This window comes from Homo sapiens, chromosome 11 (genome assembly GCF_000001405.40).
Source record: "Homo sapiens chromosome 11, GRCh38.p14 Primary Assembly".
Classification (NCBI taxonomy): Eukaryota; Metazoa; Chordata; class Mammalia; order Primates; family Hominidae; genus Homo; species Homo sapiens.
Genome location: NC_000011.10, coordinates 126515161 through 126541315, shown reverse-complemented (window position 1 = coordinate 126541315; position 26155 = coordinate 126515161). Strand labels below are relative to the sequence as shown.

Below are 26155 nucleotides of genomic sequence, written 5' to 3'. Positions count from 1 at the left end.
GGCATCTGAGTCTTAGTTAAAGAGTCAGGCCCAAGGGCACACAGCTAAGAGGTGGCAGAGGCAGCATCAACTGGTACCTTCTGGGCCCAGGACAAGGACAAAGCTTCATGTGTCCATACAGTACCCCTTAGACATGGGAGCAAGAGGTGCTGGGCATCTTGGAGTCAGCCAATCCATGACCTAGCCTCCAGCCTCTCCTGGTGGTGCCCACGCTGACGCCCTCTGAGAGGGGTTGATGGGCACTCTGTCTGCTGTAGCCGAGCCTGCCCATAGCCGAGCCTGCAGCTCCCTCTTGAGCTAATGGCATAGTTCCATCCCTGCCCCTTAGTGCCACTCTCTTCCTTCCATGCTGCTCCAACACATCCCAAGGTGCCGGCTCAGTGAGGGCACATTCCAGTCAGAAGACACAAGAGCCTGAGACTCAGAGAAGAAAGGGGGCTTAGCCAGGGTCCCATGGCTGGCCAGCAACAGGCCTGAGACCACAGCCAGGGTCTCTGCTTCATGCGCTGTCGAGCATCTCCCATCTCCACTCCCCCACCATAAACCCACTCTGCTATGCCCGTCCTGTCTCATTTAGACCTCCAGGTGACCTCGGGCAGGGATGGATGGGCTCTGCCATGGGCACTGAAGAGCCCATATTTCCAGCAGCACTTATCAGTGTCTTCGTGGCATCCAGGCCTTGGCTGGATCGATGGAAGAATCCCTCTCCCTGCCACTAATGAGTACAGTGCAGGCTTTGGCAGGGGCCGCGAGCCTGATCATCAGTAGGCAAAGGATTTATAGTGACTTTGGACTCACCCTGCCTCGGCCAGCCCGATTGCTCTTCGTTAAAGACCCACACTGTCCAGGACAACCTTGGTGGATTTTGTGTCCTGGGAGAGAAGTGCGAGGCTGGGAGAATCACAGGCTGCCCACACTGGCTCAGCCCGGGTGAGGAACAAGCATAGGGGAATGTGCCCTCAGACTTTCCACCCCCTCATCCAGCCCTGGGAAGAGCAGTCAGCCTCTTTTTTGTAAGTCCAAGTAAAATTCTAGTGCAATTTCTGTAATGTTCATGAGACTGGCAAGCTTCTCCTTACGTGTGTATCAGAATCAAGCTACCAATGGCTGCAGGTGGCGATGCTGGGATGGAAAGTGTTTCTTTGTCTCTCTCCCAGTAGAAATCAAGGAGAAACAGACAATAGAGAAAAGGCCCTGTCTTCTACCCCTGCCTGGTTCTTCTGGCTTCTCTGTTTATATTTCCAATCCCAGTCTAAAGGGAGAAGATTAGGTTAGATGATCTCTTGCCATCCCGATATGGTTCAAAACCTGTGCAAACCTCAACAAGATTTAGATGTTTCACCCAAGGCAGCTACTCCCAACACTCCCAGACTGGAGTAACCTTGTCCCTCTTAGATAGTCACAACAACATCTATAACTTTCCATATTTGGAGTTGAATTATCAGGTCAACACCAAGTGAGAGGACACCTGAAAATACTTCTCCTACTGCCTGACCCATAGGTAGTGCTCAGTCAGTGTGAGTTCTTCACACCTCCTTCCCAGCTCCAGAACCATTGACCCAACTACATCTGGGACAGCATCACCTGGGGGATTCTGGACCCCTCTCCATCAACACATTTAAAACTGAACTCACTGCCTCACCTCAAGCGCGCTTCTCCTCCTGAGCAGCAAATGGCTCCTCCATCATCCATTCACACTTTCATCTTCCTCATCCCTGGTCAAGTACTATCAGTTCTACCCCCAAATGGCTCCTAAATCCATTTCTTCTTTCCATTGATGCAGCGTTAGCCTGAGTCCTCATGACAGCAAAACCTTGCTGATCAGTCTCCCTGTCTTCAGATTATCCTCCTTCATTCATCCTCCTCCCTGTCATCACCGTGATATTTCTAAAACTCAGATCTGAGCATGTGGGTCAAAAACCTTTGATGACTTCTCATGAAGTACAAACTTCTTGGCACACGTTCAAGGGCCCACACGGTCTGACCCACCAGGACTTTCTAGATTTGCGCTGTACTAAGAGAGTCTGCACACACATGCTCCGTGCACCCAGCCTGCTAGGCTTGTAATGATACTGCCAGCTGCCATTATGGAAGGCAGGCAGGGCTCTGTGCACATCACAGAGAATGACCTATTTCATTCTCACAAACAACTCAACAAGTATTGATTGCTAAACCAATGGGGAAACTGAGGCTCAGAGGGACTAAGCAATTTGCCCAGGGACCCACAGCCATAATGGCAGGGTCAGAGATCAAGCCTAGACCATGTGGCACTGCTGCTTTTATTCCATGAACACATCTGTTCTCCACACTTGACGTAAGCTGTTCCCCATTCCAGGGAACATTCCCACCTTGTCTTCATCCTGGCCATTTCAGAAGCCAACCCTTCTGTGACTCCTTCTTTGGGACTTTGTGCCTCACTCTGACGCTTATGGTGTAGAGCTTTTTATTCTAGTTTCTTCTGCACATATTTGCCTCCCCGCAGCTCCAGAGCCTACTCAGCGGAAGACATATCAGCCCCTCCTGCACACCCCACACCCAACCTGGGGACTTGGAGATTGCTGAGGTGGCTCCTGCTCATGCCTGAGGCACCATGGCATCCTGAGAGCTGAAACAGTGACTGAAACCCCCTAGAACCTCCATAAAAATCCATTTTTATCCGTCAGTCAGTGGGTCAGAACATACTCTATCACCCCCAATCCTGTTCCCCGAGCAGGTCACCAACTGGGCATTCTGGAAATTTCTCAAAGCTGATCCTCCTGTGTTAGATGCTGGCCCTGTGCTGAGCAGCAGGAACACAGCAGAATTCAAGACTTGGGTTTCGAGGTATGAACTGAGTCACGCTGCCCTTGTCTTTCCCACCCTACCCGATATTGTTCTGATGTCACCAGGAGCCACTGAGCTGACTTCTTCTCTCCTTCCCTTCTTCCTATTTGCTTGCTTCTCTGGAGGGGCAGCTTCCCTTAATCTCATAAGAGGCAATTTACAAGCTCCAGGCTGGGAGAAAGCCGGCAATAAATAACCCCAGTATAAGTATTCTTAAGCCTTCTCCAATTGGTCACTAATAAAAGGCAGATGGTGACATTTGAGCCCTTTTTGCATGGCTGACACAACACTCCAGGAGGCTGTGAAGCCAACCCGGATGAGCAGAAGAGGCAAAGCCAATGGGAGGGCTCACCCACTGTCTCCCGCACCACCCATGCAGGTTTCTAATGGGTGCAACTTCAAATTTGCAAAGCCTCCATTCTCAGCCTTGGGACTCTGCAAGACAGGTGCTGCTCTGGCCCCTGTTTTAACAGTCCCAAGCTCAAGAAAGAGGCAGAGCCAATGGGAGGGCTCACCCACTGTCTCCTGCACCACCCATGCAGCATTCTAATGGGTGCAACTTCAGATTTGCAAAGCCTCCGTTCTCAGCTCTGGGACTCCGCAAGACAGGTGCTCCTCTGGCTCCTGTTTTAACAGTCCCAAGCTCAGGAAAGACTTGTGGATAGTGACGAAAGTAAGAATGACCCTTTGTGAAACACCTGTCTACCAAGATCATTTACATATAAAACCTCTCATGCTCACAGCAGCTTTGCCAGGGAGGCGTGTCATCCCCATTTTTCAGATAGGGAAACTGAAGCTCAGAAAGGGTGAGTCACTGGCCTCAGATCACACTGCTAGGTACAGGGCCAGAGTTCCTTCCTAGGGCTGACTGACCCTGTGTTCTTCCTACTGTCCAGGACCCAGGCTCCGACAGGTGACCCATCGGTTAGGTACTCCAGGCAGGTGACAGAGGGTGACCCATCACTCATGTTTTTGCTTATATTTTTTTTCCTACCCCAGAATGACATTTCTCCTCCATTACTTTCCCCATATTATGATTCCTCCTCCAGGATGCCTTCTCTGCTTCCTCCCCACAACTCCCTTGCTTGAAGCAAGATTCTCTTAAACCCCTGAAAAGCTTTATATGACTTCTCTATGAGACCACTTTATCCCTTGTAATCCAGTAACCTGTGGTCAAATGTGACCATCCAAGACTCTCAGCGAGTTTCACAGAATGTCCTGAGAGTTGAGGGGTGCAGGCAGGGTTTCAGCTGGGCTGCCCACACTCACAGGCATGCAGGCGGGTGTGTGCATGTGTCAGCACCAGGCTCCTTAGAAGCAAGGACAAGCATTTCCATCCTTATATTAGTGACCCTCACTTCCTGTCCAGGTCTGACTGGGTTTAATCCTAAGGGGAGTGGTCATGTCCCCTCAATCTGCTGCTGGAACAAAGGCCAGGCCAAATAACCAGTGGAGAAAGGGGAGGCAGGGATTGAGCCCACCCTTGAGCCACCTCCTGCCTGCCTCTGAGCCGCCTCCAAGCATGGATGGAAAGAGAACTGCACAGGGGTTGGGTGCAATGGCTCATGCCTGTAATCCCAACCTTTTGGGATGCTGAGAGTGGGAAGATCACTTGAGGTCAGGAGTTCGAGACTGGCCTGGTCAACTTGGTGAAACCCTGTCTCTACTAAAAATACAAAAATTAGCCAGGCATAGTGGCACATGCCTGTAGTCTCGGCTACTTTGGAGGCTAAAGCAGGAAAATCACTTGAATCCAAGAGGCGGAGGTTGCGCTGAAGCCGAGATCGCACCACTGCACTTTAGCCTGGGCGACAGAACGAGACTCAAAAAAAAAAAAAAAAAAAAAAAAAGCATTGCCCAGGGCCATGAGGGGATACTCAGCACCCCCGATCCCACATCAGGCTCCAGGGCAGAGTCTGCATCAAAGCTTTATCTCCCCTGTTACACAACCATCCCAAATCCCACACTCTTTGTACTAGTCCATGCTGCCCTGTAGATCTGTGCCTCTCACCACCACTGTGGAACCACAGTGCAGAGACATGTGCCTATGGGGTAGCAATAGACTTGGGACAGTGGAGTTCCAGAATGCATCCCTAGAAGATTTAGGGTTGGCAGTTGTGGGTGGCAGGGAGGAGTAAGCAACGGCTCCTCTGAGTCAGATCCCAGCCTCTATGGGCACCAGGATACTGGGCCACCTTCCTATCCGATACACACACACACACACACAGACACACACACCATAGTACCAAGGCCTTTGGACCCCAAAGACGAACCAGATCACTGTTCCTTCCAAAGTTCCCCAAGATGGCCCTGCCAGGGCCTATGCTTTCCAACATTCTGTAAAACTAAGAAAAATTCATTCAACCAAGATCTTTTTTTTTGAGATGGAGTCTCACTCTGTCCCCTAGGCTGGAGTGCAATGGTGCGATCTTGGCTCACTGCAACCTCCGCCTCCCAGGTTCTATGGATTCTCCTAGAAAAATTCATTCAACCAAAATCTTTTTTTTTGTGATGGAGTCTCACTCTGTCCCCTAGGCTGGAGTGCAATGGTGCGATCTTGGCTCACTGCAACCTCCGCCTCCCAGGTTCTATGGATTCTCCTGGCTCAGCCTCCTGAGTAGCTGGGATTACAGGCACGCACCACCATGTCCCGCTAATTTTTGTATTTTTAGTAGAGACGGGGTTTCACCATGTTGGTCAGGCTGGTCTCGAACCCCTGACCTCAGGTGATCCACCCGCCTCAGCTTCCCAAAGTGCTGGGATTACAGGCGTGAGCCACCGGGCCCAGCCCTCAACCAAAATCTTAAGTGCTTGATAAGGAATAGAAGCAGCAAATGTCTGGCTGGAGAAAAGGTGGGGTTGAGGCCAATTCAGTTAATCTGACAAACACACCCACGTGCACACACACACACACACACCCGACCCAGCACCCTGCAGTGCTGCCCTAAGACCATCACACCGAGTGACGTGGCCCTTGTAATCTGCGCCTTCCATGGCAAAATGACTCTTCCCCCTCAGGAAATAATTAGGGATTGAGGGGCAACCTCAGAATGGGGCCACAGGTGTGCAAGTCATAGAGAAACATGGGGTCTTCTGCATTTCAATGTTTCACTGGAAGTTGGTGGGGACTTTGGGAGCCAGATGGTGATGGTTCATTCCGTGATAATGTGTGCTGCGAGTCCCAGAAAAGAGATTAAGATGAGGGCGCTGCATCCAGGTTGGAAGCCGGGTGGGCTGACAGGAGGCAGGAGTAAGCGCAGGAGGGAAATCTAGAGGGGGCTTTTGGGAAGAGCAGTCAGGAGGAGTCCCGATGGAGGAGGGTGGGGAAACAACTGGGGAAGACATCCAGCCCCACCACTGATCTGAGGATGCCATCTGCCTGCTCCCAGCTCTGCCCCATAACCAGAGCCCCCAAAAGGCCACCAAATGCTCCACCTCCTGCCCACCTCCCTAGGCCAGGCCACACCTGTCACTGCTGCTGCCACCTCCACACTTCCTCCCACCAGCCACTCACCAGCACTGGCAACAGTGCCAGCTGTCCTGACTCAGGGACGCCACGTGGCCCATCAGGACAGGGTTCATCCAAGCCCCCCTCCCCTTTATTGTTCCCAGCCAGAAACAGCCACTGCTTCCTGCAATTTGGAGACAAGGCTGCAAAAGGCCCTGCCTGCTCAGCACCTCGACCTCCTGCTCCCACTCCTGAAGCTTCTACCTTCTCAGGTAGGGCAGAGAACTTGGCACGAGGGGGTGGCAGACCCAGGCTCTCCTCTGATTCTGCCACTCTCCTCAAAGGGAAAAGCAGCTGCCTTACCCAGTGGTCTAAAGGGCCCCCGGGACAGATGGCGCAGTGCTCTCTCGGCCCCTGCAGGTCACAACAGCCTGGGTGTGCAGGGGAGACGCACAGGCTGGGGGCAAGCATCCCAGACAGGGACTCTCACTCAGAGACAAAGGGCTTTGTCTCAGAACCCTGGGACCCTGCCCCGCAGAGCCTCCCGCTTTCAGGAACATGACCTACCTTCCAGGCGGCGAGCAGGAAGGTGCTTCTGCAGCCACCTAACCAAGCGAATGTGGGAGAGAGACCGCTGTGTTTCCCAGGCCTGCTCCTCTGCCATGCCCAGGCAGGTTCATGCACACGCAGCCTTTTTCTACTAACGGAAGCTAGTTCAGCGCCAGTCAGATGCGGAGCCAAGCCAGCCCTCATTGGCCCGGGAGACGCCCCCTACCCCTTCCACCCCAGTAGCCCCCTTGCAGCCCTGGGGGAACATTCTCCCACCTCTTCTCCCCCACAGGGCATGGCTCACAGCAGCTGGCCAAGGCTTCCAACACCTGAGCTCACCTACCACAAACACCAGCCTTGAGACCCACCTGAGAACCCATGGATGCTACACTGAGGTCCTCCTGCAAAGAGAGTACATCCTTGTCTTTAGTGAAAACTGTCTCTTCAATAAGTCATTGGATAGTAATTAAAAGTCCACCCTTGCCTCCCCCTTTCACACCAATAGAGAGCCACCTGCCATTCCAGGTCACGCTTCCCGTCGCCCAGCCCTATGGAGCTCAGCCTGCGGCCTGGTGTTCAGGACAGAGGGTGGCTTTGAGAGAAGAAGGTCGGTTTCCCCTGAGCATTTGTTGTGAGCCAGCCCCGGAGTCAAGTGGCCCAGATGCATCCTCTCTATCTCCACAAGGTGGTGGTATTATTGTCCCCATTTCACAGATAGGAAAATGGAGGCTCAGCAAGTTCATGGAAGTGCCAGGATTCAAACCCAGGTCAGTCTGATTCCTGAGCCCCATTCATTACCACTGCACTATCTGCCTTCATCCCAAGGGGCTTGTCCAGTCCAAATGGTGAAGGGAGAGAGGGGTTCTTTGGAGTGAGTGATGTGGTTGTGAGGGTCAAGGGTGACTGGAGGACCTGCAGGTCTGCGCTCACCTTCTCAGGGAGCTAAAGAAGGTGAACATAGGCTTCAGTCACTCTTGGATAGCTGGTCAACTCTGATCCACCCAGAGAACTGTGTTCATGAGGACATTATACACAGAACTGATGAAGTGAGCTAGTGTACATTATTCTTCCTGAGTTTCCTTGAGACTTTTCAGTACTGGCCAAGGGCAGTGGGAGAGGGAGGTCTAAGGTGGGTTCTATGAGTTCCTGGGGGCGAGGACTAGAGGCACAGTGGGCGAAGTCCAAATAAGGACGCAAAGAGGCTGCTCTGGAACCAGACTGCTGGGCTCATATCCCTTCTCACTGCCAGTGCTGTGGGCCCCAGACAACCTCATCTTCACGTAGGTGTGATACGGTACCTATCTCATAGGACTCTTTAGTGAGTCAATAAAATAATCCAGGTAAAGCTTTTATTATATGCTTGACATTCTGTAAAAGTTACCTATTACTAGCTGGGCATGGTAGCTCACACCTGTAATCTCAGCACTTTGGAAGGCTGAGGCACGAGGATTGCTTCAGGCCAGGAGTTTGAGACCAGCCTGGGCAACATAGCAAGACCCTGTCCCTACAAAAAGTTAAAAAATAGAAAAGTTAGCAATTACTAATTTTATAGCAATAAAAATATTTATGATACATAATTATAAGCTATATTATAATATAATTATATTAAATAGCCATTTTAAGTAATAATTATAAGTAATGGTAACTAGTACACCTCCTTTCTTTTAATCTTCCTATGGTGGCCAGTACTAAACTTTACCCTCAACCGTTTCAGTGTTACTGACCAATAGGTGAAGAGGAGCCTACACACAGAAACTGAGGGAAAAACCAAGAAATCACTTTTCATTCTAAAGATCTTCTACCTCCCTTTAGATCATCTGGGCCAGGTGTAGTGGCTCACGCTTATAATCCTAGCACTTTGGGAAGCCGAGGTGGGCAGATCACTTGAGGTCAGGAGTTCGACACCAGTCTGGCCAACATGGTGAAACCCCGTCTCTACTAAAAATACAAAAATTAGCCAGGCATGGTGGCAGGTGCCTGTAATCTCAGCTACTCAGGAGGCAGAGGCAGGAGAATCCCTTGAACCCAGGAGGGGGAGGTTGCAGTGAGCCGAGAACACACCATTGCACTCCATCCTGGGCGACAAGAGCAAGACTCCGTCTCAAAATAAATAAATAAATAAATATAAAAATAGATAAATAATCTGAGTAGGCTGCCTTGTTGGTGGAGTGAGTACTTGCTTAAGAATCAAAATCTGGGCTTGAGACCCTTGATTCAACAACCTACATCGGATAGTGGTGAGAAAATAGGGCTGTACCCAGACCATTGGGGTTTGAGTGACACCTGAGCTAATCAAGTGAACTTGTGCAAGTCCCTGCATTTCTGTGAGCCTTGGTTCATCTATAAAATGTGGTTAATTACAGCTAATCTGCATGCCAGAAACAACGTATACAGCCAAAGATGTGGCATCAAGTAAATCTTCCATGAACAGCAGTTATTTTTTTCTCCTGTCAAGCCTGATTCCTAGAGACTCCAGCCCACCCTGTGATTTCTCACCTTTCTCCTGTGTGGTGTGCTCTGAACAGTATCTGCCGGGTTAGTAGTTCATAATGCAAAAGCAATTTTCCTGTAGTGACCACCGATCTCAGCAGACCAACCAGAGCAGGCAAACTCTAAGTACAAAGGCACATGTGACAGACGTGTAACCGGTGCTCACCCACAGCTGGGAACACAAGACAGAAAAGATAGCTGTGGCCCCTGCCCTCAAGAAGTGTACACTGTTTCTTCCTTATTTCTGTTTCATCAGCATCTGACATATAGTAGGTGCTCAATAAAGGTTTGGAGAAATTGATGAAAAAGAGGCAAGATGAGAATATAGAGAGAAGACGAGAAAAAAGAAGATTCCATCTGGGTCACAGGAGCTGCCTGGGGAGAGAACTGGGCCTTCAATGATAGGTGGGGTTGCTTAGGGGGGGCCTTGGGTGGGGGAGCCTTGGGTGGGGGGATGCAGTGCATCCCAGGACAATGAAACATCGAGGAGAACTCGAGGCAGGTGACCTTAGTGACTAGCCAGCACGGGGGTGCTGTGGAGCTCCCAGGAAGAAAAGGAGCTGGATTTTGGAGATTAGAATCCAGCATGGGAAGTTGGGCGTTGTCCCGCAGAGAGTGGAGAGCCATGAGAGGTCCCACCCCTTAAAAGAGGGGAACCCTGAAGCAAGTGGTGAATTAAGACGGAAAATCCAGGTTCAGCACATTAATGGATCAGGCAAAGAGAACATTCAGAGTCTGTGGCAAGAGCCCAGGTTGAGGCAACGAGAGCTTGAACTTGGGTGCTAGCAGTGGGAATAGAGAGGAAAGGGGAAGTCTGAGAGATGTACAGCCTGCTGGGCTAGGCTCAGTGATGGTGACAGACTCAAAACAAAGCATGGGGCCGGGCATGGTGGCTCACGCTCGTAATCCCAACACTTTGGGAGGTCGAGGCAGGTGGATCATGAGGTCAGGAGTTCGAGACCAGCCTGGCCAATATGGTGAAACCCTGTCTCTACTAAAAATACAAAAATTACCAGACATGGTGGTGAGTGCCTGTAATCCCAGCTACTCAAGAGGCTGAGGCAGAAGAATCGCTTGAACCCGGGAGGCAAAGGTTGCAATGAGCGGAGATCGCACCACTGCACTCCAGCCTGGGCAACAAAGTCAGACTCCGTCTCAAAAAAAAAAGAAAAATAAAAATAAAGTATGGGAAGGGGAGATTGCACCGGCCGCCAAGGCTTCACACCAGGGGAACATCATCAGGGAAAATGCGAAGCGGAGAAGATGGAAACCCTGGGCCGGTGGAAGGTGCTGGGTGTGTCACATCTCCACTGAGAGCAGGACCTGAGCCTGTGAGGCACCTACTCTGTGCTCCATCTGAGACGCCCAGGTGTGATGGGGAGGGGGCACAGCTGCGAGCTCCTGGAGGGGTGGCCAGGCCTGTTCCCCTGCTCCTCACCAGACAGCACAGTGCCTGCCTCACAGCAGGGTCCGGTCAGTGTGTGTGTGGAAGAAACAGGTTCTCAGGAGCTCACTGTCTACTTAAGGCACTATCCAGGAGGCTGCAGAAAATGACCTTGGGCTCACTTGCATTTCACTTCTTTGGAGTAGAAAAGAAAATGGGGAAAATAAAGCAAGTAGAGGCCAGGCATGGTGGCTCATGCCTGTAATCCCAGCACTTCAGGAGGCTGAGGTGGGAGGATCACTTGAGGTCAAGAGTTCAAGACCAGCCTGGCCAACATGGTGAAACCCTGTCTCTATTAAAAATATGAAAATCAGCCGGACATGCTGGTGCATACCTGTAATCCCAGCTGCTCAGGAGGCTGAGGCAGGAGAATCACTTGAACCGGGAGGCAAAGGTTGCAGTGAGCCAAGATTGCCCCACTGAACTCCAGCCTGGGCGACAGAGTGAGACTCAGTCTCAAAAGAAAAGAAAGAGTGGGTGGGTGAGGAGCATTCTTCTGGCAATAACTTACATCCATGGCTCAAAAGCTGTGCTCTGAGGGGCTCTTGAGCCCAAAGGAGAGGCCCTAAGGTCTGTCAGATGGATGAAAAAAAAAAGTGGGTTCCATCCCTCCATCTCCACCTTCATCCAAAGCACCTCAACTTTTATCCACTCTAGATACTCAGTAACAGTTTAAGATTCATTTGAAAAAAAAAAAAAAAACTCATTGGTTTAAAAGAGAAAAGTAATTATAGTGACTCAAATGTAATGTGCAAAAATTAAAATTGGACTGAAAAGGGACATTGTCAATTAGAGTACTGTCTCCCATCCCCAAAAATAATAATTTGTAAATCATGTCCTTTGGGTGGATTTTTCCTGTGTACTCATCTTCCCCAGAAACAGTCTTTCCATAGAAAAGCCAAGTGGATCAAGCAGACAGAATGCGAGAGGCTCTAGGAAGGTCTTTTTTTTTTTTTTTTGAGACCGAGTCTCACTCTGTCACCTAGTCTGTAGTGCAGTGGGGCGATCTTGGCTCACTGCAACCTGTGGGATCCTACACCTCCAAGCCTGCTCAGATGGCATCGGGAGATGCTCCCCCTCAAAAGGCCCTCTCCCGCTCAGCCCCATCCCATCAGGCTCCTTTCCTACAGACCCCAGGTCTTATTCCAGGCATCTTGTGCCTGCTGCCACCCCTGGCTCTGAGACACCCACCAAAAGGGTCTGTGGCCACTCAGAGTCCACCTCCATGGCCTGCTTCAACTGATCCCCCTTCCCAGCGTTGCCTTCCTCCAGAGCCTGGTTTCCATGGTGATAGCCCCCTCCTCTCCCTGGGGGCTCCAGCCGGTCCACAACTTACCCTTGGCCCTCGGATGCTTCTTGCACCCCACTTCCCCGGGGGCCCTCACCCAGTACCTCCCGCGCCTTCCTCCAAGAGGACACAGGACGGGGAGAGACCGGGACGGTTACCCACTGTGGGTGCTTCCTAATAATGGACATCTCAGAGGGCTCGGGCACTGCTTCATTTAAGGGGCTCTCATTATAACCCCCTCCACGTCCACCTGACAACCTGATAATTCTCTCTGATAGCACAATCTTTGGCAGTTACTGCAGCTGCCTTGACTCTGTCCTTCTTGTAAGAAAGATTTTGAGATAAAAGGATGAGCTGTGAAATCATCATTAGAGTAAAAGGAGCCAGAGAAGGAGTCCTTTCCACCCACCCCCTCCCTCTCCATGCTGCCCCTCACCCTCCTCCCCTGCTTCCTCCTCTTCCTCTCCCTCTCCTCTTCTCTCCCACGTCCTCACTTCACTCCTTTGCTCTCTCTCCAGTCCCTCCCTCCTCTCCCCTTCTCCTCTCTCATCTCTTCCCTCCTTTTCTACCCTGTTTTGGTGCCAGAAACAGTCTAATTACAACAGAGAACTTGAAGAGACAGAGAGGAAAAAAAAAACCTACCATACATAGCTGATTAAAATGTCCTATGAAATCTAATTTGTAAAGCTCAAATCAGAATAAAAAGTGTTACTCCCACAATTCAAGGCCAATTTGATTTTTAATGAGACTCCTCGGAGACCCTGCCAAGATCTTGTCAGGTTGTGAACTCGGCCACCTTCCTGCCTGTCCCCAGCTCTCCACTGTGAATCTGCACCCCTCCTTCTGGGGAGCCTCCACCCCAAGCTCTGCTGCCATCCAAGCTCCCCTGGGTTGATACACACCAAGTGTCTCCCTCTTGGGGTCATCTGTTGCTGAGAGCTCAGTCCTAGGTGTGGCCCAAGCCTGGGGCTTTTTGTCCCCAAGATGGGCAGCAGCCAGTGTCCAGGACGTCTGTGGCTGCCCCTGACTCTCCCGGGTTGGGGAGGAGAGGCCACAGCATCAGCAGCTGGAGCGCCAGGTCCAGTTTTGCCTCGGTTAGGTCTGGGTCTGTAGAGCAGGAGGTAGGAAAAAGGGAGGGCTTGGAATGCAGATGGGCCCCTGCTCAAACCCCTGCTCTAACACTCATTAGCTGCGTGACCTTGGGCAGGTTACTGTGCCTCTCTGATCCTGGTTTCTTTGTTGTAAAGTGGGGCTTTTTCTGCCCTGAAGTATAATTAAGTGGATTACAGGAGGGGTTGTATGAAGTACTGGTTGTACTGTGGGCCAGATGCTCAGCGAATGTCAATGTTCCATTGTCCACTCAACTGTGGACTCCCAGGAGACACAGATCACATCACACCTCTTCATCAGCAACTCCCTCCAAGGCCAGGCTTGGGGATCTGCACACAGCATAGCTCAGTAGGGGAGAGCATGGTCTTCAGAGCCAGAAAGACTTGGATTCACCGCACCACCCACCCCAACTCCCACTAGACAGTTCCCTGGGCAATTCAGTTAACCCTGAGCCTCCGTTTCCCAAAGTCCTGTCAAATGGGGTTGACAATGCCCCATTCGAGTGTTGCCACGGTGATAACTAGAGTCAGGGCATGCGCCGTACTTGGTGAGCAATTCACAAGCACAGCTCCCATTACTATTTTTCACCTCCCTGTGCCTCATTTTCCCATCTGGAAAATGGGGATAAAAATAGTGCCTACTATTTTTAGGTTGTTATGACGATGAAAATATTAATGAACTAATATTTTAAAGCCTCAAAACAGAGCATGGCATCTTGTAAGCATTGTGGATGGGTTTGTTTAATAAAATAATGTCAACTGACTCTCTTCGATGATTCTGGCCATCTCGTTTTGAGGAGGCATGGTGTCCATAATGATTTTTTCCCAAGTGATTGTGAGGCTGGAGTAAGGTCTGCTGCAGAAAAGAAAGGGACAGGGAGGACACGGTAGGATGGCACGCCTCCTCAGCACACCTCCTGCCATACTGCACCACCACCCACCCCTCTGAACTTGGCCCTCAGCCCACCCCAGGAGCCACTGAAACAACAAAATGATTTCCTGAATTCTCAGGTTTAACCAAAGCCGCACCACTCTCCATCGACCCCCTTCTTAACACACAGCCACCACAGAATGTTTCTAGCTAGAGGTCTCTCTCTCTCTCTCCTGTTTCTGCCCTGGTGTGGGACTGCATGCCCAGCACATGGCATTAAGTAGGAGCTCACCAATGCATGGGAAGTGGCACGTCCCAAAGGTGGAGGGAGATGGCCCATAGGGAGCTGGGGTGTGGCTAGACCAGTCCATGTGTTAGGGACTGATGGGCAGAGGGGCTGGAGCTGGGAGCCAGGCCCCCATAGGAGGGAATAGAGCTGGGGCTGAGACCAGTTAGGAAGCTCTACCAGACCCTCAGCAGGAAAGCCAGGTGCTTCAGGAGGCTCAGTCTCCTGCGCCAGCCCTGCTCTGCTTCCATAGCTGGAGGGGAGCCTTCTCGCCCCTGTAGCCGGCAGATAACTGACCATTGTGTTTGTCTCCTTCCCAGGCCAAGTCTATTCCTTCAGCCAGCAGCCCCAGGACCAGGTGGTGGTGTCGGGACAGCCAGTGACGCTACTTTGCGCCATCCCCGAATACGATGGCTTCGTTCTGTGGATCAAGGACGGCTTGGCTCTGGGTGTGGGCAGGGACCTCTCAAGTGAGTACCTCCAGACCTCCTGGGGTGGGCCTGGGGCCATCACTTCCTTACTCACCCATCCACCTTCCTAGGGAGCACCCATCTTCACAGGTGTCTGAGTATCGAATCTCTAGCTTTCACTGCAACTCCTCAGGCAGAGTCAGGCTAGGCAAGCACTGCACCCAGCATCCCTAGACTCTGAGGGCCCCTGATGTGCATAATGAACCATAAGCAAACCCTCCTTCTAGCGGTGGGTCCTAACCTAACTCGACATTGCCCTCAAGCACCTACTCCAAAGTCAAACATGATTCATGTAAATTCCAGTTTCCAGAAATCAAGTGTTCCTGTGTCTTGGCCCAAGATGTATCCCCCATTTATTAAGGCACAATTATTAAGGAAATACAAGTCACAACCTGGTTCTTCCAGGCTTCTCACCCATTAAAGGGAACCAAGTAAACTGAAAACTCACAAAGACACCTAGTTGATCTTAGGAGCCATCATGAGATGGGAAGAAAAGACAGGAAGTATTAAAAATAAATTTCCAACTATGTTCGGCTTGGGCAGGCTGGTATTCAGCAAAGCTACCCTGGGACAGGCAGTGAGAGTTCCCATGGTTGTTGATGGCTGACACGTGAACTCACTGGCCAGTGCTGACAACAGATCATTTGTTAACTATTGTGAATAGTGATCCCATAAGACCATACAGACGCTTTTCCAATCCATCCTCTTCCCTGGAGAAAAAAAAAGAATGGCTCATCCCCCTGGTCACACACCCTTCAGCTATCATTATTCTGTCCTACAGGTAGGCAGTGGTTGTTTGCTAGGCTTGGCGTACACAGTAAAATTCACAAGCAGGGACCTCTGGGTGTCATTCCCCTGTGATTTGGGAATAGCTAAGGGTGGAGGAGGAGAGAAAAATATTATTCAGCTGAGAAGTAACTTTGCCTCTCGCATGGTGTACAGCTGCAGGAAAATAAAAATCGAAGTGCACTCAGGAACATGATGGTTGGGAAATTAATATTTTTAAATGTGAGTTATGTCTTGCCAAAAATGTATATTGAAACATTATAGCAATGGTCAATAGCAGGCACGAGGTTTGAACGCTGCAGCCCAGCTGAGCATGGAAAAAATACACAAAAACATCTCCAAAATATACTGTGCTGCCATAAAGTTTAACTGTTATGGGAACCAGCCAATTTCAGAGACTCCGAACGCCTTTACCCTAGAGAAACTCCAGGAATGATACAACCTTCCCAAACTAGAATAGTTCATGCACTGAATGGCTCCGAGCTGGGATGAGCGCTGCCGCTAGTTAAGGAGGCTGTCTGGGGTCCCGGTCAGTGGGTTTCCAACTTCCGTCAGGGACTGGGGTCTTGCTGGGTCAGTGGCCAAAAGGAGGCTCAGGTCAGCAGGGATAGTGCATACGGTGGTCATCTCAGCATGGATAACTGACCCTCTAGCATCCAGTGCCATGAATGGCTTTCTGGGATCCAGGACTGGTACCTGCTTAGGGCTGCAGAACAATGGCCTCTGACAAACTGGGGCCTGTGTCCTCTCCAGCTTGACTCGGTTTGCCTCTCCATACAGAGCCAATGACCTCAAACTCCTGATAAAATACTTGCCCTGTATTTTGTCACTTGTCCCAAAAATAGCATCATGGCAATCATGATAGATACTTACATGCTCAATTAACTCTGCTCGCTTGCCTGATGTGGAAACAGGCAGGACAGCCCTCAACTCAATTCAGCAAGTACTTGTAGAGCCCTTAACACCGCGAAAGCTCTCCTACAGGGAAACTGAGGCCCAGGGTTGTGGGATTTCAGCCTGCTACATCTCTGTCCTCTCCTACTGTACCCATGTGGCCCCCCCGAATCTCCCAGAAATGATACGCTCCTTGAAGACCTAAATGTTTTTCTAGTCACCAAAGCTGGAATAACCAGTCAAAGAAAATGATTTATAAATGCACTTCTTCATATTGATAGCACATTTTTCTTCTAAGAAGCTCAGGTACTTCGCAGACATTATCTCATAAATCTACAGCGATCCGGAGGGAGAAAAGAAGGATTTTCCCCTTTGTTTGACAGGTAAACAAAGTCACAACTGAGAAAGAAATTGACTCAACTATATAACCAATCCCAGCACATGAGACCTGCCTGTTAACCCCAAAGGGTCCAGATACTCTGTCTTCTCTCCCTTCTAAAGATAAAGACCTCTTTGGCCACCTGACCTTATGACATACCTTTCTCTTCATTTAAATTGGCATTTATAGACTACTTACAATGTGCCAGGCACTTTACATAGATTATCCTATTTAACCTTCACCATAACCTTATGAGGTACTGGTATTGTCCCCATAAAATGGGGACTGGCACATAGTAAGTAGTCTATGAGGCACAAAGAAGTTAAAGTAACTCACCCAAGACAGCAGAGCTAGGAAGTGATCCAGCTGGCATTGGAACCCAGGCAATTCGACTATAGAACCCAGACTCTAAGTAATTTTGCCTCCTTTGGGAGTAGCAAGAGAGAGTAATGATAATGTGGAAGGAGCTAGAACTTTCTCAGAATCCATGCTTCTGAGTCTGATTTTCAAAGATGCTGCCAGTCCTTGGGATAGCATCACAGCTCACTGCCTAATTAGGCAAATACAAACAAACCCATCACTGATGTTTTCAGCAGCTCGTGAGAGCAAAATCCTGCTGCTGATAGCTTGCAAGACAACAGAAACAGAAGCTCCAGCCAAGATGCCTGCAGGAGACCAGGGACTAATCACAGGATAGTGGGATCCAGAGGCTGGGCTGGAGGGGCTGGGGGTAGCCAGCCAGCTACAAGGAAGGCAGCGGCAGCAGGGAGAGGATTGGGCTAGAACCCATTTCCAGCCCCTCTCCTGGCCCTGGGGGGAGACAGCTTAACTTACCTGGGCTCATTCCCAAAGCCCAGCAGAAGGCGGGAAGTGTGGGCAGGAGGAGAGGCAGTGCTCTCAGGGGTGCAGCTGATGGCCTTGTGAGCTTTTCTGGCCAGGCCTGCACAGCTGGGGAGGACAGGGCCATTTTATTGCATGATGAGGATGGTAGCCATGAAGACATGAGTCTGAAGGGCCCAGCTGCACAGGAAGCACTCCAGAGCATGCCAGGAAGGCTGGCAGAGGATCATCACAGCTACCTCGCCTGACCAGGAACAAGTGCTGGTGGCCCGTTGTACAGCCCACCCCCAGGGAGGCCTGCCCCACCTCCAGAAGAACCTTCACTTATGGTGGTGAGAGGGGCCTTCAAGCTCCTCTAGTCTGATCTTTCACCCGGTGTAGAAATCACCTCTGCAACATCCCTGAGAGGCGATCATCCAACCTCTGCTTGAATACAGCCAGTGATGGGGACCTCACTACACTCTCTGGCATCCCAGATCCTTGTTGGATACCTCAAACAGTTGAGAATATTCTAAAGAACCTCCCCATGTGAATTCTGCCTGTTGGTGCTGGTGCTGCCCTTGGGAGCTCAGGAACATGCCCAACCCACACTGAGAGATTCTTTGAAATACTTGAGGCGAGCTCTTGCAGGTCTCCCTGCCTGTCTTTGTTCTGTCTCTCTCACTTGCTTAAGCCCTCATCTTCTCTTTAAAAGGCTGAATGTGTCCCGTCTCATCCTCCTACAGCACCCGTCTGAGAACACTCCCTGTGTGGTGAGGGTCCTTCAAAAGGAGGAGCAGCCTGGGGCTGCCAGAGGGGAGTGGAAGCCGAGGGCAGCCTCTGAGGAGAGAAGGGAACCGGGACAGAGATGAAAGACAGCGGGGATTGGAGTCCAGTTGTAAATCCACACACTGAGGGACTCGGGGGAGGGCAGACCTCAGTGAGGAGATGGATGGAAAGAGAAATAGGGAGGTGTAGGGCCCGAGACCCAGGAAAGAGAGGATCTGCCTAAGGTGGCCAGCCACAACTTCAGTTGGCATTTATATTCAACCCTACACAGCAGCAGGAACGCTGATTAATGATTTATATTCTCAAACTTTTATTTATCTATTATTCATTGCCCATGGTACAAGGGGCCCCCAATTCTTAAGCGTCCTGAGCACTTCATAAGTGCGTCACCAGGACCTGGGGCTTCTGGCGGGACAGGAGGAATGACTAGACAGGGTCCACTGTGACTCAAAGTGACCCAAGGTTCCTAGACACTGGAAGGGCGGGCCTAGATTTCTACTTCCTGTCCATCCTGAAACAAAATTTTTGCAAAGTCACTCTTGATCCTTTTCCAAACATTTCTCTTTTTCCTTCCTTCTCTCTCTGACTGTCTTCTCTCTGTAATTCTCAGCCTGGGTCTCTCTGTCTGTCTGTCTCTCTCTCTCTCCTCTCTATCTTATCAAAATGCATGTCTGCTTGGTAGACCACAGTGCTGAGCACACCACTTTCCAGAATAATAAGCCAGCGGTGTCTGTCCACGCTTAGCATTTCCATCTCTTCTCCCTCTTTCCTTTCTAACAGTGGCTCCTCCGATTTTCCTAAACTTGAAACCAACAAGACCCTTACATGGCCGGGCATGGTGGCTCATGCCTATAATCCCAGAACTTTGGGAGGTTGAGGAGGGAGAACCGCCTAAGTCCAGGAGTTCAAGACCAGTCAGGGTGACATAGTGAGATCCCATCTCTACAAAAGATAAAAAAATTAGCCGACGTGGTGGTGCATGTCTGTAGTCCCAGCTACTTGGGAGGCTGAGGTGGGAGGATCGTTTGAGTCTGGGAAGTGGAGCCTGCAGTGAGCTATGATCCTGCCACTACACTCCAATCTGAGTGACAGAGCAAGACCCTGTCTCAAAAACTAACAAACAGACCAAATGCCCTTATACACACACACACACACACACACACACACACACACACACACACACACACACACACATACAGAGAGAGAGAGAGAGAACCAACACCTTCAATGCCTTGGGAAAGCTCTTGCATTTGTGCTCCTTGCACTGAGATCAGAGCCCTGAGCAATCACCCGCTCTGCCAGCCTTGTAGAATGGCCCCTGCTTGGGTCCTCCATTCTGTGCCTCTTTGTCATGGGTGTCCCCTCCACCCCACCCCAGCTCCCTGACCTGCCTGTTGTCTCCACAGGTTACCCACAGTACCTGGTGGTAGGGAACCACCTGTCAGGGGAGCACCACCTGAAGATCCTGAGGGCAGAGCTGCAAGACGATGCGGTGTACGAGTGCCAGGCCATCCAGGCCGCCATCCGCTCCCGCCCCGCACGCCTCACAGTCCTGGGTAAGAACCATCTGCACACGGGGCTGGGACACTGCGTGAAGCACCAAGGGCTCAGCTCCAAGAGGGTATTTTTTTGGTCAGACATGGGGAGACTCCCCTCTGGGGATCATCCCACAGGGCTCCAGACACTGCTGCTTCCACAATATCCATGCCCACCTTCCCACCCAAACGGGACAAGCGAAGGCTCTTTCCCTAGTAAACCAGACAGCCAATGCCAGCGGACTCAGTCCAACCCCGGCGTGTTTGATGGTGCCTTAGGCAGCTAATGAGGGCTCCTACATGCTTATTTATTCCATCAGAAAGCATGCTCTGCACACGTTATCTAGGCTAGGCTCCGTGCCAGGAAGAATGTGGCACAGGCTGTGGGTCCCTTCTTTCTGAACTGACCCCCACTCCGGTGCTAACAAAGCCCTATCTTTCCACCTTCTCTGTAGAATCAGCCCGATTCTCCCCATGATTCTAGTATCCATGTGGACACCAGTGACCCCCGTGACTTCTCCACCCCTCATTGCTCCCTGGGAATCCTGGCTGACAGGTCCCTCCTAGGAAAATTCATTTCAGGTCCTTATTCCAAATCATACTTTTCCCCTTGATCTTTCTTCATCTTATGTTCCCAGGAGCCCAGCGTTCCTGGATCATCTTGCCTGAAGACAGGGGAATGGGCTCGGTGACCTCTTAAACCGCCTAGTTCTGATTTAGAGTTCAGTCCCGGGAGTCTCCCTCCTCTGGCCAAATGTTACCGAGGATCAAGGCTGCTGAGAACCAGGCCTTGCACATAAGTCATGAGAGCTCACATTTGCCAAGCAGTTCACCGTAGCTCTCTAGGCTCTTTCAGGCACATGACCTCCGCTGTTCCTGACGCTGCTCGGTGGGACAGGGACTGTTACCCCAGATGAGATACTAAGGCCCACAGATGCAAAGAGCTTGGCCCATGGGCTCCTGGCCAGGGCTCCAGGGCTACCTGCCCCACCTCGCTGCCCCCTTACACGTGAGTCTGTGCCAGGCACGCGTGCAGGAGGGAAGTGGGAAAGCCCAGGCCCACCCCTTAGCAGCTGTTGTGAAGGTTCGACAACAGGGTCAGCAGCTGGGGTGCTGCCTCCTCTCCTGGCAGCTAAAGCACACAGCTGCTCAGAGATGAAATATTTAAAAGCATGTCAGGTTATCTTCAGATCTACATGGCCAAAGACACCAGGGCAGATTATTCCAAGCAGTGCAGCAGACAGGCCCCGGAGGACCACTTACCAAGCTCGGAGCTTGACTTCTTGAGATGCGGGGGAGGGACTTGGGGCCAGCCTCAGAAACCTCCTGCAACCTTTGAGTCTCCCCAGGCCTGCGATGAAAGGAATGAGAAAATAAACCTGTTCCAGCGGGGGTAAATAAGTTGGGATTCCATGGCCGGGAAGCGGGCCTTCCGAGGAGTAATTGGGGTATTAAAGGCAGCAGCGCCGTTCTCATTTCTCCCAAGACGGTGACTAAAATGAGAATGAGTCTGCCATGTGGTGTGGGGGTTGTGGGAGGAGAGGAGGAGGAATTAGGGCCTCATATTGTTTCTGATTTTGAGGATTGCAAAATGCCAGAACAGATTTGCTAAGTTGTAGGCTCCTCATCTTCAGAGATGGCTCAGCCCCTCCATCCTCAGAAGAATCTGCCTCTACCGACTCATACACCTTCTAGAGGGGCCAGAGGATGCTGGAACCACAGGAACCTGAGCATTGTCCACTCCTCTGACTTCACAGGAACCAAAAATAGGTGGAGCCACATCTCATCCTTAAGGCTGTATTGACTTCCCCAGTCCTGACATGATCATTACACTTCCTTTCCTCTCAACTCTACGTTACGTAAAAAAGTCCAACGTATTAAAAGTCCAGATTATTTCGAATGTTTTACAGATGAGAGAATGGAAACTCAGAGAGGCAAAGGCACTCACAGGAGGTGACACAGCTTAATTAACCTTCAAAATCAACTCCAGATTTTTCAGCTCCAAGCTCTTTGCCTAGTCTCCTGTTCCCAGATGCCAGCAGCATCTCATCTGTCTGGCTGGTGAGGGGCCAGGCTTCTCAGAGCAGGGCCTCAGGATCCAACCTGAACAGACCCGATTTTGTCTTAGGTCATGTCTAAAAGGCATTCGCTCCCCCTTCCTCTCCGGTGGCATGGCCTGACACCGCCCTCTGGGCACAGAGCTGGGTTTGTATGGGGGAGATGTTTTATTCAAGTCTGGAGATCAGCGGAAGGAGGGCAGAGGAAGTTTCCATGATCCCCAGCAGGGTCCCCTCCGTGAAATTCCTGAGAGCCAGAAAGGGAGCCTCAGCCAGCATCTTGTCCATCAGCCTTTCAGGCAGCTCCACCAAAACCATTCATCCTGAGCAAACTAAAACCCCAGGCAAGACAGTGCTTCCCAGCACTCTGCCTGCAGTCCTCGCTGACTCCCTGGGACACTCCCAGGTCCCCAACCCAGCTGGTCTTGCAGGGCTCCGCCTGGCTGAGTGTCCTGGGGTATAGCACCCCACCTACTGCTCTGCAAGGAGGCCCCCAGTGCAGCAGCTGACCCAGCCAGCTGGAAGGGGACCCCTGGTCTGGGGAAGGGGAATGGAGAGAGTGGCTGTTCCCACAGATGGGAGAGAGGTATTTCTGCTCCTTGGCCCAGCCGCCTTCCCTACCAAGACCCCATCTGCTTTGCTGTGACATCTCAGCCCGGGAAAATGTCCCAGCCAGTTCCCCAAGGGGGGCTGCCTTCCCTGTGTTCCAGGAATGAGAGAGCTTCCTAATTTAGTCTGTATTTGCCTGAGATAGATTTTTAATTAAATAAAGTAAGAGCCTGATTAGAACCTGCGGAAGACGCGAAAGCAGAATCAGATGGTATTCCGGCAAAATTGCAAAGCAAACACTTTGGCTAGAACAGAGGGAGGCCCCCGGGGGTCTTCCATCGAAGTACCAAGTGAGGAGGGCAAATACGAGAGATTATATAGCCAACAGATGTGCATTGTTAAAATATGCATCTGCCGGCAGCGTGCTCAGATGAAGCCAGAGGGCCAGCTCGCAGAGCCGCTGGGCCCTAGGGAAGGCATGGGGACTCGGCCTGGCAGCCAAGCCTAGAGTCACAGACACATTAATTAGCGTTGTGTTTCCAGCTCTCAGATGCAATCAGGCAAGGAGCAACTTCGGAGCTGAGCATTTGTACCTCGGGAGGCAGAAGGAGGGAGCCAGGAAATGAGGAGGGAAAGACGGGGGAAGGCCTGAGTTTGCAAAGCTGAGAGAGGCAAAGACTGGGGATTTTAGGTCAGGTCAATCAGTGGTCAGGCTGCGTGCCCTCTGTGGCCCAGCCAGCTGCCAAGGACTATGGCTTGACTCAGCCCAGGGTCAAGACAGGCGTCTTTTCACCTGCAGAACATCTGGAGAATCACAGCGTCACGGAAACAGCATTAGACTTAGAGGCAGTGGTCTTGGTTTTACCAGTGTCCAGCTGTGTGACAGTGGCCCTGTTTCTCAACCTGGGTCTCAGTTTCCTCATCTGTAAAATGAGAGGTGGTGATAAATAAGATGATCGCTGAGAACTGTCTCGCTCCCAAAAGGCCATGACTTCCACTGTAAGGAGTCCAACATGCTGTACCAACTATTTTAGGAAATTGGGCCATCCCTCCCTGGAACCAAGATTGGCGCAGTGACCGAGGCTTAGAAGAAAACTGATTAGGGTGGCTTAAACAGCATCCCACTTTGAGGCTGGGAGATAGGACCTCTCCAAGTCCTGTTCAGCCCTGGGGTCCTGGCCTTGGCTGTGGACCTCAAACCCTGGTCCTCCCTGCAAAGGATCCCCCCCAACCACCCCTCTGTAGCCAGCTTCCACATAGACCTAGCCCTCTCCGAAGACTCAGTTTGGTTGGGCTTCAGAGGACCCCCATGCACATGTGCAGAGAGAGCTGTCATGGGGTAGGAAGAGCCCTGGGCCAGGAAGTAGAATATGCTCTTGCTGCTCACTAACTGGGTGACCTTGGGCAAGGTCCTTAAGGCTGGAACTGGGCCTCTTTGGCTCAAGCCTCTATAACCAGCGTGAATGAATGAATGAATGACGTTTCTGGTTCTTCATCTATAAAATAGAGGGTTAAAAATACCAATGTCATAGAATTGTTGTAAACATTAAACACTCTGTCTCTCTCTCTCTCTCTCTCTCTCTCTCTCTCTCTTTCTCTCTCTCTCTCTCAATCTCTAACAGTGAAGTGTCATACACTTTTTTGGTTTGTTTTTTGTTTTTTGAGATGGAGCCTGGCTCTGTCGCCCAGGCTGGAGAGCAGAGGCACGATCTCAGCTCACCGCAACCTCCGCCTTCTGGGTCCTCCTGCTCCAGCCTCCTGAGTAGCTGGGATTACAGGCACGTGCCACCACGCCTGGCTAATTTTTGTATTTTTAGCCATGCTGCCCAGGCTGGTCTCGAACACTTGACCTCAAGTGATCCACCCATCTTGGCCTCCCAAAGTGCTGGGATTACAAGCGTGAGCCACCCCGCCTGTATTTTAAAGTTGTGTACACATATACATGCAGACTGCTCCTTCTTCCACCTACAGGAATCCCAGGGTTGAAAAATATTGAAACTGTCCCAGGGTCAGAGTTGTAAGGGTGGCATTACACTTGATCTCTTCAACTTCCTGGAAACTTGGGAAGCAAGGTGTTGGGACATCCAGGGCAGGGAGGAAATGGTACCAAGGATTTGATCAACAAATGTTTACTGAGCACCTGTTATATGCCAAGCACTAGTCTAGACACGTGGGATTCATCAGGAAACGAAAGAGAAAACCATCCTTGCCCTGGTGGAGCTTGCATTCTGGCAGAGAGAAGGCGGTCGATAAGTGATGCACGGATTAAACCATAAATTGCATTGCTGTACAGGATGTGAGGTGGTAATAAATGCTACGGAAAGGAAAAAGTAGAGCAGGATGGGGGGATCAGAAGTGGGAGGAGGGGATGTTGGCATCAGATTAATTATTAAGAGGGGCATTTTTCCCAGTCTCCCTCCTCATTTCCCTCTTCTTCCTGGCCCGTTCTAATATTAACTCTGCTGTCTTGTGGCTCCCGTTAGAAATAAAGCTTCCTAAATCAACATGAATTATTTAAGAGGGAGACTAAGTCAATTCAAATAAAGAGGGCATCTTTTTAAATGATGTCAAGCCCCAAATACTGAGAGAGGAAAACAGATAAGGTCCAATCTGTGACGTGTCCTTAACTAGTTTGTTTTTCAAAACCACAAGCTCCCTTTGCCACAGCTCTACCAGCAGAGCTGCAGGGCCTCCTCAGCCCACCGCGTTGGCAGCCTCCCCCAATCTCCCATCCATGAATCTTCTGGGGAGATGGGTCCAGAGAACAGTGGTGAATAACTCAGAGTCTGCCAGCAAAGGAAGGCAGAGCTGGAACAGACCTCGAGGGTGCTGGCTTCTAAACCATTCTTCCAGAAACTGGTTGCAAGAAACCCATCCATAGTCACCCTGACATAAAAAGGCAAATCAGTAGGTGACAGTCTGAGGGGTTCTTCAGGGGCGAGAAAGTGTCCCCACAGAACAAAACCCAAGCTCCCTGCCAGGCCACACAAGGCCCCCCGAGGCCAGCCCCCAGCTGTGTCCCCAGCCTCAGACCCACCGCCAACCTGCTCCCGCACTAACAAGCAGCTGGCATCTCCTTCCGCTCACCAAGCCTCTGGGCCCTCATTCACACTGTGTTTCTTCCTGGAGTGCCCTTCCTACCTTTCTTCCCTTGGCTAACTTGTGTTCAGCTGTCAAGATTCACCTCAGACAACTCCTCCTCCAGGAAGCCTTCTCTGGAGCCCACATGGCCTGACTGTCCCCCTGTGGTCCTTTTCACTTCCTTAGGCATCTTTTTTTTGAGTCAGGGTCTTGCTCTGTCATCCAGACTGAAGTGCAGTGGCACTATTATGGCTCACTGCAGCCTCGACCTCCCTGGCTCAAGCGATCCTCCCACCTCAGCCTCCCGAGTAGCTGAGACCACAGGCATGCACCACCTCACCCAGCTAATTTTTGTTTGTTTGTTTTTTTGTTTTGTTCTGTTTTGTTTTTGTAGAGACCGGGTTTTGCCATGTTGCTAATGCTTGTCTTGAACTTCTGGGCTCAAGGGATCCACCCAACTCAGCCTCCTAAAATGCTGAGATTACAGG

At 51.0% G+C, this 26155-nt stretch overlaps 1 protein-coding gene across 17 annotated transcripts in view, besides 4 other annotated features; it reads left to right on the top strand.

Moving 5' to 3' along the window:
- Positions 1-26155, top strand: part of KIRREL3 (kirre like nephrin family adhesion molecule 3) — a 580037-nt gene that overhangs the window by 462079 nt on the left and 91803 nt on the right. For 15 of the 17 annotated variants that reach the window (NM_001441257.1, NM_001441258.1, NM_001441261.1 and 12 more), the window contains 2 exons: positions 14629-14778; positions 19852-20001. In NM_001441257.1, coding sequence (NP_001428186.1) covers positions 14629-14778; positions 19852-20001 — 300 coding nt within the window. Of the gene's footprint in view, positions 1-6435; positions 6544-14628; positions 14779-19851; positions 20002-26155 lie in introns of all 17 variants that reach the window. The other 2 variants (NM_001441252.1, NM_001441262.1) reach the window with 2 other exon arrangements.
- Positions 11506-12006: an enhancer, noted in NCBI's record as "H3K4me1 hESC enhancer chr11:126399205-126399705 (GRCh37/hg19 assembly coordinates)". NCBI's record gives its function as "activates a minimal SCP1, AML or CMV promoter by ChIP-STARR-seq in naive H9 embryonic stem cells {active_cell/tissue: H9 hESC(naive)}" and the evidence as "EXISTENCE:reporter gene assay evidence [ECO:0000049][PMID:30033119]".
- Positions 12007-12507: an enhancer, noted in NCBI's record as "H3K4me1 hESC enhancer chr11:126398704-126399204 (GRCh37/hg19 assembly coordinates)". NCBI's record gives its function as "activates a minimal SCP1, AML or CMV promoter by ChIP-STARR-seq in naive H9 embryonic stem cells {active_cell/tissue: H9 hESC(naive)}" and the evidence as "EXISTENCE:reporter gene assay evidence [ECO:0000049][PMID:30033119]".
- Positions 17239-17738: an enhancer, noted in NCBI's record as "H3K4me1 hESC enhancer chr11:126393473-126393972 (GRCh37/hg19 assembly coordinates)". NCBI's record gives its function as "activates a minimal SCP1, AML or CMV promoter by ChIP-STARR-seq in naive H9 embryonic stem cells {active_cell/tissue: H9 hESC(naive)}" and the evidence as "EXISTENCE:reporter gene assay evidence [ECO:0000049][PMID:30033119]".
- Positions 20979-21480: an enhancer, noted in NCBI's record as "H3K4me1 hESC enhancer chr11:126389731-126390232 (GRCh37/hg19 assembly coordinates)". NCBI's record gives its function as "activates a minimal SCP1, AML or CMV promoter by ChIP-STARR-seq in primed H9 embryonic stem cells {active_cell/tissue: H9 hESC(primed)}" and the evidence as "EXISTENCE:reporter gene assay evidence [ECO:0000049][PMID:30033119]".